At 36.3% G+C, this 13,368-nt stretch overlaps 1 protein-coding gene across 9 annotated transcripts in view; it reads right to left on the reverse strand.

Annotated features, from left to right (window-relative positions):
• Positions 1 to 283: 283 nt before the first annotated feature.
• The window catches only part of XRN1 (5'-3' exoribonuclease 1), a 141,428-nt gene continuing 128,343 nt past the window's right edge, over positions 284 to 13,368 (reverse strand). For 3 of the 9 annotated variants that reach the window (NM_019001.5, XM_011512919.3, XM_047448358.1), the window contains 5 exons: positions 12,464 to 12,577; positions 12,266 to 12,368; positions 6,810 to 6,848; positions 6,272 to 6,432; positions 284 to 5,487 (listed from right to left, as the gene is read on the reverse strand). In NM_019001.5, coding sequence (NP_061874.3) covers positions 5,185 to 5,487; positions 6,272 to 6,432; positions 6,810 to 6,848; positions 12,266 to 12,368; positions 12,464 to 12,577 — 720 coding nt within the window. In that variant the 3' untranslated portion in view covers positions 284 to 5,184. The remainder of the gene's footprint in view (positions 5,488 to 6,271; positions 6,433 to 6,809; positions 6,849 to 12,265; positions 12,369 to 12,463; positions 12,578 to 13,368) is intronic. The other 6 variants (XM_047448356.1, XM_011512920.3, XM_017006640.2 and 3 more) reach the window with 3 other exon arrangements.

Genomic DNA, 13,368 nt, shown 5'->3' on the forward strand with positions numbered 1-13,368 from the left:
CTAAATAACTTATTCATGTAACCAAACACCACCTGTTCCCCAATAACCTATGGAAATAAAAAAAATTAAAAAATTGGCCAGGCATGGTGGCATGTGCCTGTAGTCCCAGGTACTCAGGAGGCTGAGGCAAGAGAATCGCTTGAACCTGGGAGGTGAAGGCTGCAGGGAGCCGAGATCTCCAGCCTGGGCGACAGAGCAAGATTCTGTCTCAAAAACAAACAAACAAAAAGACTAATGTTTCTACTTTTGATATCAGCATAGTAATAAAAGAACAAACAGCTTATAAAATCATTCTCAAGTCTTTAATTAAAATCCATAGAGCATTTAACATGAACAGATGTTTAAACTCTTTCAGTGACTCTCATATTTTAAAATCCTTTGCACAGCATCGTGAGGCTAACTTCATGCTAGAAATCTACGGATAACGTAACACCACAAAAATACATTCGGAGTCCATTCCAATGCAAGTTTAAAACACTTTAATTGGCAGACAATGTAAAGATATTTAAAATCAAAAATTACAAAATGAGCACATAAAAGTCTTCCCTTTTGAATTTTTAATAAAATACTTCTCTGTATAAGATCTAATGAAAAATTCCAGTTACTTATAAAATAGTTGAGAAATCAATTAAGATATGTATCTATATATGTATGAATTACACTTTTGTTTAAATGAACAAAATGTTGAACACTTCAATGACAGCACAGCATCTATTACTCACATTAAACTAGATGAAAATACTCAAAGAAGCAGTTGGATACAGGCAAAAGAAAATATGATACTTAAAGCCAAAAGACAAAAAAATCCAAAAAACGAAAACAACCTCCCCATCCCCCACCAAACCCTTAACTGTAAGGGAAAGAAAGGAAGAGAGAACTTAAAGCTAACTATGGACCAAATTCTCATTCTTTTTAATGAGAAACAGCATGAGAATTTGGCTTCAAATTACTAAAACAGCTACAGAAACCTATTTGGCCTGGACAATTTAATAGTATACCAACTGCTGAAACAACCAAGTGCAGTTGGTGTACGGCTGGAGGGAAAAAAAAAAAGACTTTTTACAGGTTTAACTTTGTAAAAAAATGTATCTTTTGGAAACCATAGTCTCCTTCACAAATTGCACTTGAGATGGCTGAATGCATTGATTGAGCAAGGCATTATTATTTGTTCACTGACACACACACAAAAGCAGCTACAGATAGTTGACATTTTGGACTACTAAAACTATTTTATACATGTTTTTCTTCTTTAAGAAAAGGATCTATGATGTCTGTGAAACTTAACGGCCTGTCTGCTCTGCCATGTTTCTGGAGACTTGATGCTGGTTCAACACTATCTCTTACTGTATTGGAGAAGTTTGATGGAAATATGAATAAAGTCAGTCCGAACGACATTAATTTCTGGAATTTTAAGCTTTATCTTGACTAGGAAAGGAAGCTCCTGCAAAACTGATGGTTTCACTGACAAAGCTTACAAAATGTATATACTGAGCACTGCCAGTTTGAGTACTATAATTTATCTCTAGAAAAATGACAAATGAACTTCTGCAATTGATTTTTAAAGACAGAGAACGACTTTCACAGCCACTTCTCTACAATAAATTAATTGTCTTCTACAGTAAAAACAAAATTTGGAAGCAACATGATACCAAGAAATACAGCAAGCTCATAAGGCTGAGAAATTGTACAGTTGCTTTAAAAAACTGTGCTCTAAATAATGGGAAGAAGCGTGACAGAACTAACTTGAGTGAAGATCTGCACAGCTCTATCTCATATAATAAAAGTAAAAATTAGACAACCACTATAAACAGTTATGACTAACACAAATAGAACACATAAATAAAAAGTGAGTAAAAAAGACCTTACAGTTTATCTATTTCCTTGTGCTAGAAAGATACGGTATAGTCCAAAAATGCAGTGACTGGGTATGTCTTATTTAACTGTTTTTCTTCTTCCATCTGCCTCCCTCTCTCTGCCTCCTCTCATTAAAACCAAGAATCTAGCTTAGTTTGGAAGTAGCAGTCTAAAATGAAAGCAGGTACCTGATCATAGAAAGAAACAATAAAAAAACTTGCATCAATAGTTCTTCATTCCTCCACCAATCGGGAAAAAAACCCTTCAATCTTTATTAGTTACCCCTTTGAAAAGCAAGAAAAATCTTAAATTGAAACCAAGGTTCAGTAGAGGTGACTTTAATTTTTTTCTGCAACTACAACTGAGTCTTAGATGTTTAAGACTTTAGTCTACATGATGTTTAAATCAATTAATACATTCAAATTCTAACGCTGAGGTAATTATTAGGTAATGCAGGAAAATGTGAAAAGGAACGAGACTGGAAGGAGCAATCTTCAAAATTCACTTAAGTTGCTCAAAAAAGAAAAAACTTATTGAATAGAAATATTTAGAAATAATGTTTCAGTTAGGAGACAAAGGCTTAAATAGATTGAAGTGCTCTAGTTATGTGGAAGCATAAAGCAATTTGGGGAATCTGTCCTATGCCCTAAACAGTCCACCATTTTCACAAAAAGTCCTCAGAAGATTCAAGTTGAATGAGCATATTTTTAAACTTTGGGGGTGGTCTTAGTCCACCCCATCTCAAAGAGAGAATTTTAAATTTCTTGAAGTCCAACTGCTTTTCAGATATACTCTAAATTCCAGGTCTATCAACAGATTGTTTCCTCAACATGGGGCAGAAATGGCCTCTGCTTCTTACATCCTCCATAGGGAGGGCACATCTCCCATTGACCTCAGGCCCACATTTAGAATGGGTCTACAGGGGGAAAAGAATAGAGAATGCCTGACCACTATCCAGCCATTATGGAGCTCTCTCCTATCTTAATCTCTTCTCAGTTTTGACCTTTAGAATAATAATGTTAAAAAAAAAGTAAGGATAATAAAACTTTTTTCTTTTTTTTGAGACAGAGTCTTGCTCTGCTCTCCAGGCTGGAGTGCAGTGGTGCAATCTCGGCTCACTGCAGACTCTGCCTCGCGGGTTCAAATGATTCTCATGCCTCAGCCTCCCGAGTAGCTGGGACTAAAGGCATGTGCCATCACGCCCGGCTAATTTTTGTATTTTTAGTAGAGACAGGGCTTCATCATGTTGGCCAGGCTTGTCTGGAACTCCGGACCTCAAGTGATCCGCCTGCCTTAGCCTCCCGAAGTGCTGGGATTTGAGCCACTGCGCCTGGCTGGAAAATAAAACTCTTTCACTGCCTATCTGTATAGAACTGTCAGCTTGCTGTGCTCAAATATTGGTCAAGTATCCTTATGGGTTTAGTGCACTATGTCTACTGAAATTTCCCTTTGGAGTTTTCAGAAGATGGCAGGTGCCGCTTCTTCTATGCTCTAAAACAGATGTGAGCTGCATGCTATTTATATAACTGTCACACAGGAGTAATGAGTGAGGCAAATTCTCAATGCTGGAGTTTGTACAGCTGAGGTGAAACATTTCACACTTTAAAGTAGGAAGAGGTTAATATAACATTACTGTCACAATTTAACTTTTCTTTGTATTACCATAATAGATGTTTCCTTTAAAAACAAAGAGAGAGTTTATGAGGCAATAATTATACACATTGAGGATTTACTTGAGCCTCATTACTCAAGATCCCACTACAGATAAAGAAACAATGTTGGGAACTGATAAACATCTGAACTTATGAAAATAACAGAAAATAAAATCATGGAAACTTATACGACTATGATAAATGACAGATAATGAATATTTCTCTCTTATACTGAAGGCACTGCTAATACACAAATATCCTGCTAACATTTAAACTCTGAAATCAGCAGTTAGTGAAAGGAGTCCATTTAGTTTAATACCAGCATTTTAAAAAACAAGTAAGACTACTTTAAGAGTCATGGCAGAGTTTCCAATGAGTTACATGAAAATCAGATATAACAAGCTGCTCCATATAAAGATTGTGGTTCCTACTTTTAAAAAAGTATGCTATAACTTACTTCCTTAAAAATATAAGCATATCACAAAAACTAAAGAATAAATATATATATATATATAAACATAGGCCCTGCTGAGAAATCGTCATAAATTCTAAAATAATTTCAACAGTTACAGCTTGAACCACACATTCACATATGACATGCAAAGAGAGAATCCCAGCATCATTGAACAGTTCAGCATAAAGCTAAAAATATAGAATCAGAATGAAATAGGCAGTAAATAATGTATGTCACAAACTGATGACTGTGCCTCCTATATTGTAGCACACCTTGGAACTTAAACAACAATTAGAATTTCTTCAGTCCCAAGAAGCACTACATACCGACCAACTATGAAGCTCTCATAAAATGTCAGGTAAGCAAATAAAAAGCTATACAAAATAATACAGTTTATTAATTAACATGACTAATATTTCATATTTTATTTTGTTAGAAGATTAATTTGTAATCATTGTACCCTGTAGATTTTGAAACAATTTTACTAGAAATTACTAATGCTGGTTCTTGAGTAACCTAAAAAATTGTATTTACTCAAATTTAGAATGCTATTTATAGTTCTAAGCAGTTAGATGAAATATTCTGATTATTCTAAAGTTGCTTTGGTACAAAATTTAGAATAAAGCAAAACTGGCAGCACCACAACAAATGTGATCCTTTCACAGCAGGTCTAAAGACCCTCAGAGGCAACAAAGCATAAGTTAAAACACACATAAATAAGAGCCATTCTCCTGACAATTTTCTTACATCATTAAAAAGAGAAATAAAATCCACATTCAGTAAGTTATACTGGAGGCCCAAATTTCATGCTCCATGTAATTATTCCTCAATGATAGTGTAAAAAATGCTTATTATTGCTAACTGATGTCTAATTCATAGTTCAGGATGCTTCAATCATGAGGCCAATGATTAGAGTGGTACATTTTAATGTTTAGTCCACTGATACTGTGATATTATTTTAATGCAAGGTTTAATTTAGTTTTTTATTACAGATTTATTGAGGTATAATTGACATACAACAAACTGCACATACTTAAAGTGCACAATTTGATACACAGTCTTTTAAACAGCATGAAAAGTGCCTGATAACTTAAAAATGAAAAAAATTTCAATTTACACATATTATTTTAAAATAGTACATTCTAATTTTTATGAGACATAGATATGTATTTATAAAAAGGTAGATGGAAAGAGAAGAAATTAACTTAATTCTAAGAGCCAAATTTACTCAGAAGGTTTAGAAACACCAAAATTAACAGCCAGTTTTCTTGATTTTCTTCTTGAAGAAGAGATTGGTGTTGACTTATGGTGAGATATACTATGGCCTTGAGAGGCAGTTTCAACTTGAAAAGAAGATGCAGGTTGAGCAATCGGAGAGGACTTCAAAGAAGCTGATGAGCTCTCCCGTGGACTTACTTTGACAATGTTGGAAGAATCTGGCTGGCTAGTCTGAACTGGAGTGGCTTGAGAACTCTGGGCTTCCTTATTCTCAAAGTTCTTTTTGTTTGCAACCCTTTTTTTAGTAACCTGTTAGGAATAAAAGCATCACTAATTAATAATGTAGGCAAAAAATTAGCTAGTGTTGGAAATTACCATAAACCATGCATGCTGTTAATATTTGTCAATCACAGCTGATCTGTGACTTCCACTTATAATTGCCAAGTAAGACTTTAGTAATTCAAAGGACTTAGTTACAAACAAAATATTTAAAATTCTTGGGCTGTGTGCAGTGGCTCACAACTGTAATATCAGCACTTTGGGAGGCCGAGGCAGGTGGATCGGTAGAGACCTAGGGTTCGAGACCATGGCAAAACCCCATCTCTACAAAAAAATTACAAAAACTAGACAGGCATGGTGGCACATGCCTGTAGCCTCAGGTACTCGGGAGTCTAAGATGGGAGGATCACTTGAGCCCAGGAAGTCAAGGCTGCAGGGAGTCGAGATTGTGCATGGGCTGCGTTCCAGCCTGGGCTACAGAGTGAGATCCTTCTCCAAAAAAATGAATAATAATAATAATAATAAAAATACAATTCTTCATAGGTTATTTTGAAAATATTTGTGATTTTATTTATATTACTGATTTTAATCAATCTGTATTAGAATAGCATATTACTTGGTACAATTATTGTTTATTAGAACACAAACTCAGAGAGCAGAGACAGGTCAGACTTGTCAACCATTGCCTTCTTACTACCCACACTAGTACTGAACTTCTAGTTGGCACTGAATAAGTAAACTGAATAAAAAAATGTTTATCAATAGTCTTTCAGCATTAAACAAATAATTATCTTAAAAATATTATTTTTCTTACCTGCAGAGGTATAAACTGATTGTGCACACCCCCTGGTATTCCCCCAGCCATGGGCATGGTCCCAGAATATAAAGTATGATGGAAGGGCTTCCCAGGAACTGGCACCGATGGTCCCCATGGCATTGAGCCAAAGAGATGAGACGACGAAGGCATTATATTAGCTGTTAAAAACCAAGGAAAATTTTTCTTTTAGTAAAATGGTATCATCAAAGCTCTGAAATTTGAGACCTCCTTCTGCTAGCCTTTTTGGGCTTTTTTTTTCCCCTTTGGCAAAAGGCCTACACTTACTTCACCTATAATTACTCTTCCTTACAACATTCAACCTCAGGATCCTTTCCTAGGACTGTGTGGACTATCTACACAAATGAATTTATCATTATACTGGCCTGAAAAGGAGAATACTACTACTAATATCATATGCTGATACAAGTTTTAGGAATATTTGCAATTATATTTATAAAAAAAATAAAAGGGTCATGAAATTGTCCCTTGTGAGAGAAAAGCTTGGGCACAAATAGAGAAATCTTAAGGATCTCACCTGCCCCCAATGCATAGTTGCTTCCATAGTGATCCCAGCCTACAAAAAAACCAAAAAACCTCAAGTCCTGAAATCTCATCACCTTCATATGACAGGTAGAATCTTTCTTTTCTCTATTTTAATATTTGAAGTCAAGGCCTTTTTTCACTTACAGTTTGTTTATTAAAAATGTAATGAACCAATGGGTGCCAAATCTAATTTGTATATCTGAATCACTTGAGGAGTTTGTGAAATACAGATTCCTGGACAGGGCCTCAGACCTAGTAAGCCAGACTCTGAGGGGCCCTGGAGTTTGTATTAAGCTCCATAGGCGATTCTTATGGAGACAGCCTGTACCAGTAGAGCATTTGAAAACTACATTAAACAGTGACATTCAAGGCACCAGCACACGCCACTGAAGAAGATATGCACTATGTTCAAATATTCTTTTCATAGAGATAAAAAGCAGCCAGACCTGTAAAACAGTATAGCTTAATTAAAGTTCAGCTATTTAAGACACTTTTAGGTTAGGAGAGAAGAATCATAATATATTTCAGTGTTATGAAATACACATACACAAATTCTAAGAAGAAGAAAACTTTTAATATGAAAAACACTAATAAGATTCAGAAAATTAGGCGAGGCGCAGTGGCTCATGCCTGTAATCCCAGCACTTTGGGATGCCAGGCATGGCACGTGGCTGTGGTCCCAGCTACTCAGGAGGCTAATGTGTGAGGATTGCTTGAGCCTGGGAGGTGGAGGTTGCAGTGAGCCAAGATCATGTCACTGCACTTTAACTTGGTTGACAGAGTGAGACCTAAGAAAAGTAGAAAATTAGGTCTTGAAACTATCTACGAGCAACTTTGGTGGGAGTCATAATGCTAAGAAGGTCTATTTAAAAGATGCTATGCTAATCTTATACAATGGTCAACTCCGTAATTTCCCCAATAAATCACTGTTACAAATATGAAATACATATTCCTCAACTGGGACATTTTACATCACAAATTTTTTTATACCATAAAATAGAAATTTACAAAATAACTTTAAAATGTTAATCTAATGCTTAAGTTGTTCTCTGCTGATTAACCTCCAAATATCTTGGCATTTATGTATTTACATATTTTAACTGGAATATTTGGAGAACACCTTTATAGGACCAAAAGCATTCCAATTATAACCTTAAAATTATTAGTAGGTATGAATAAACTAATCAACATGAAAAAGGTTAAAATATCAATAATAAATGGGGAAAACAAACATTCCTCTTAAAAAATATATGATCATAAGACAATTCTTCTTTAGAGAAGTTTGTGTGCAAACTTTTAGGTACCCTACACATACTAATTACTTAAAATTAATCTATACATAGCTACTGTATTCATTTTTGAATGTGAAGCAGCAGCAGTCAAATTAGATTTTATAAGTTACGGTGATACTATTACATTGAGCTATATAAAAACATCAGATCCATTACGTCATGAAAACTTTATGACTAAAACATTGTTGGCTGGGCACAGTGGCTCATGCCTGTAATCCTGGCACTTTGGGATGCCGAGGCTGGCGGATCCCTTGAGCCCAGAGTTTGAGACAAGCCTGAACAACATGGTGAAACCCTGTCTCTATAAAAAGATACAAAAATTAGCCAGGTGTGGTGGTGGGTGCCATAGTCCCAGCCACTTGGGAGGCAGAGGTAGGAGGATCAACTGAGCCCAAGGAGGTTGAGGCTGCAGTGAGCCCTGATCATGCCACTGCACTCCAGCCTGGGTGACAGAGTGGGACTCTGTCTCAAAAAAAAAAAAAAAAAAAAAAAAAAAAAATCCAAGTCTGTCGTCTGTTTTTTTTTTTTTTTTTTTGAGACCTAGGCTACAGTGCAGTGGCACAATCTTGGCTCACTGCAGCCTCCGCCTCACAGGCTCAACTGATCCTCCTGCCTCAACCTCCTGAATAGCTGGAACTACAGGCACATGGCACCACACTCAGCTAATTTTTTCCATCTTTTGTAGCAGTAAGGTCTCCCTATGTTGCCTAGGCTGGTCTTGAACTCATGGCTCTAGTGATCCTCTGAGCTCAGCCTCTCAAAGTGCTGGGATTACAGGTATGAGCCACCACACTCAGCTATCTGTTTTCAAAGCCCATGCTTTTGTTACTGTACTGCACTGGCATTCCTTTGACTATATAAACAATGTTTTGTTTTGGTTTGGTTTGGGCCTTTGGGGGTTTTCTTGAGATAGGCCTTCCAAAGTGCTGGGATTACAAGCATGAGTCAACAAGCCTGGCTCAGACTTGGATTTTGATGCCAGTTCTGCTAGATAGTAACTTAATGACCTTAGACAAATTACATTAAAAAAAATCAAAATACTACATATACATTGTACTAAAAAAGATTTTCTTTTTCTTTTTTTTTTTTTTGAGACAGAGTCTAGCTCTGTCACCCAGGCTGGAGTGTAGTGGCGCGATTTCAGCTCACTGCAACCTCTGCCTCCTGGGTTCAAGCGATTCTCCTGCCTCAGCCTCCTGAGTAGCTGGGACTACAGGTGTGTGCCATCACACCCAGCTAATTTTAGAATTTTCGTATTTTTAGTAGAGACGGTTTCACCATGTTGGTTAGGCTGGTCTCGAACTCCTGACCTCAAGTGATCCACCCACCTCTGCCTCCCAAACTGCTGGGATTACAAGCGTGAGCCACTGCGCCCGGCCTAAAAAAGATTTTCAACAGAAAACAGCAGACATCTGTTCTACTCCAGGTTTAACTGTTTTAGATATTTCCACACTGTTCAATTATTTGCTTATGCTACTTGTTAATAACTTATTAATTTTAGGCATTTTTAGGTCTACTGACTTCCTATTCAGATAGAACAAAATTTAGTTTTTTTGCATTACCCCTCACTACTTACCCTGTACTCCCAATGTAAGTACATTACATCATTTGTTTAAATATACAAACAGTGTTATCTATTTGTGGTATGTGGCTATGTAAATATTATCACTGCAGAGCCAAGCTGGGTACTCTGATAATGTTTCTTTTCTTGTAAAAAGAGATCCATTATGTATTTTCTTGTAAAACCTTTTGTTTTTACTTGAGTTAGTCATTATCTTCTTTTTTTTTTTTTTTTTTTTTGAGACAGGTCTCATTCTGTCACCCAGGCTGGGGTGCAGTGGCACGATCACAGCTCACTGCAGCCTTGACCTCCCAGGCTCAAGTTATCCTCCCGCCTCAGCCTCCCAAGTAGCTGGGACTATAGGTGCATGCCACCATGTCTGGCTACCTTTGTATTTTTTGTAGATTAGAGATGGGGTTTTATCATGTTGCCCAGGCTGTTTTGCCATGTTGCCCAGGCTAATAATTATTTTTTAAAAGCTTAGTCTTGCTCATATCAATTCTTTAGGAAAAATATAATAAAAGCTGCTTAGTCTTCTCTATACCCATCCTTAATGTTTTCCCATTGCTCATCTATTAATAACCTTCCTTACTGCCAAGACTTCCCTCTGCCTGTCTAGTTGGGACTAGTCACTTTCTAGACCCACTGAGCAGCTGGCATCCTGGGATTTCCATTCATTGTATAACTATACTACATCTACAATTTGTTATTTTGGTTTCCTAATTTTCTTTTAAACTACTGCTTTGTTTTGTTGGAGCATGTAATTCAGTAGCTTCTTAAGAAAGGGTAGGCAAGGCATGAAGGCTCATGCTTGTAATCTCAGCATTTCTGAAGGCTGAAGTGGGAGGACTGCTTGAGTCCACGACTTTGAGACCAGCCTGGGCAACATAGTGAGACCTTGTTGCTTAAAAAAAAAAGGGTACATAAGAAATAAATTTGCGTATCTGAAAATATCTTTGTGTCTCCTTTGTATTAGATTCACAGTTTGGCTATACAGAGAAATTAGGATGAAACTCATTCTGCCTCAGGGTTTTGAGGTATTCAATGCTTTCTGGCTTCTAGGCACTGTTCAATAGTGCAGTACCATTCTAATTTTTGATCTTTGTACATATTTCTTCTCTGAATCTCTTAGGACCACCTTTTTATCACTAGTATTCAGAATCTGAAGATAATCTGTGTCTTTATTCATTGTGCTCAACATTTGGTGGCTCTTTTAGAGATGCATATCGTTTTGTTTTAGAAAAGTTTATTATTTTTTTGACACTTACCTCCTTTCCTTCATCTCTGATCTCTTTTTCTGGAACTCTAATAAGGTGGGAGCTGGATCTGTGCACTAAGTCTCTGTTCTTTCTTATTTTACAGCTTTTATCTTCCTTGGCTTTGCTAGGACTTTATCTACTAAATTTTAAAATTTTACTTAACAATTTTACCTGTACTCTATTCTTTTTTCATCTTCCAATTTCCTATCTGGGGAGAAGGGTATGACTGGCTACAATCTGAGAACAGGATGAGAAAAAGGGAACTTTTCCTTAATCTCTGTGTTTTCAGTCTCACATTCCATTCTCTTCTCTGCCTGGTATTCCCATATCTAGATAGCTCCTCTAGAAAACACACCTCCAGTTTTTTGCTTGCAGAGGTCTGGCTGCGTCACAGAGGGAAGACGGGGGTAGTCTCACCACTTTGCACATAGACTTTCAACCAATCCCTCTCTTTTCAGCACATGCCTCCTCTTTATCTTCTCTAATAGTTTCTGATGCCTCCAAGATCTGAACCTCTTGGGAACGGCGAGGGACAATCTACTTATGCTCATTTGTAGTCTCTTCTACAGGCACTTTAGCTTGTAGCTTTTAAACTTGCTCTGCTAAAATGGTTACTTCTGCAGTTGTTTTTCTCAACACAAACTCTTTTCAAATCTCTAATCTGCTGATATTTCTTCTGTCTTCATCCTCACAGATTTACACTTTTGAAATCCTTTATTATTCAGTTTAATGAGAAGAGACAACTGCATGTCATAAATTTAATCAGTATTATTCACCTTTCTAATGCTTATTGTAAGCATTAGATATTTAGAATTCCTGGAGTATTACCTGGCAGTAGATGCAGAAAAGGGATTTTCTAAACTTAAATAAATTATTGGCTTTAAAACAATAATAATTAAGATAAAGGGAAGCCAACTGCTATTAGGAAAAAAAGCTGAGTGATTTAGAAAATCTCAGAACTTAAGATTTAGAATTACAAAATGTTAGTCTCAACAAGATTTTGGACATAGTCTACTACCAATAAGAAAATACAGTCCTGAAGAAATTACATGATTTTTTTTTTACCTTTTGATGTCTAACTTAAACACAAATTTATCTGTTAGCAGCTACTGGAGAATAAGGGCCTGCCCACTCAACCTCTTCTTACTACTCTAGCCATACTAGAGGCTGTAGGAAGAGAATGGTACTTTTAGATGAATCTGCAGGCTGTGGCTTTAGGCTTTCTCACAATTTCTTCTTACATTCCTAGATATTTGAGTACATTCTTGATTTCTTAAAAGAGCTTAGTAAAAATAACAACTCAATGACAAATACTTATAAATGAAAAATATCTTACCAGTAGGTGGGGGAAAGGCTGGAGGAATGGTTCCAGGTGGTACAGCTGAAGGATAATTTGCAAATACTTGTGAAGGCAAAGGGAAATTCATGCCTAAGGAGCCCTGTGGAAGTATTTAAAAGTTACAAGACAATGCAATACAAGCTTTCTATAGGGACTAATAAAAATTTTAATAGAGAAGTCATGGACAGTTCTTACCAACTGTTGTAAAGCAAAAAGTGCAGCTTTCTCTTTGGCTTCATTTTCAGAGTGGCACTGTGGCCCATGTACCAGTAAGCCATTAGATAATTTTACTTGGCAAACGGTCATTGTCTAAAAAAAGAGAATATATATGTCTATGAAATTCTCTGTCTAGGAAGTTGACCTCTCCCAAAGTTTAGTCTAAACAAGTAAAATAATTTTATCAAGAATTTAAAAAAGGGCTTTCAGTTCAAGTTTTCAATTGCCAGGCAAAAATTTTCGAGTTGTTGCCTTATCTTTTTCAGTGTTTACAAAATAAAAAGCTTTCTAAGCTGGCTGAAGGGTCAATCCACCTAATGCAAATGAAAGCCAGCAAAACTGTTTTCTTTATACAAGGAGTTGACAAACTATGGAGTTCTGCCTCTTTTTGTAAATAAAGTCTTACTGGAACATGGCCACATCCATTCTAATGGCTACTTTCACACTGTAACTGTAGAGTTCGGAAGCTGTGATAGAGACTATCTGGCCCACAAGGCCTAAAATATTTACTATCTGACTCTTCACAGAAAAAATTTGCTGACTCATGTTTATACCATCCTTTACTTAGGAGATATTTTGGTAAGATAAGTTAATTGCCAAAATATAAAAGACTCAGAGATTCTGATGTGTTTTCTACTCATATTTAAATTATAACTATATTATACTTTAATTTTCTGTTTTATAAAAAAGCTTGTTTTGTTTTGGTTTACCTTAATTTTTTTTAAAAAATAGATTTGGGAGTACAAATGTAGTTACATGGATATACTACATAGTGGTGAAGTATGGACTTTAGTGTACCCATTGCCTGATTAGTATACATTGTACCCAGTAGGTCATTTCTCATCCCTCACATCCCTCTTAACCATCCCATCTTTTGAAATCTC

Source organism: Homo sapiens, chromosome 3 (assembly GCF_000001405.40).
Source record: "Homo sapiens chromosome 3, GRCh38.p14 Primary Assembly".
NCBI lineage: Eukaryota > Metazoa > Chordata > Mammalia > Primates > Hominidae > Homo > Homo sapiens.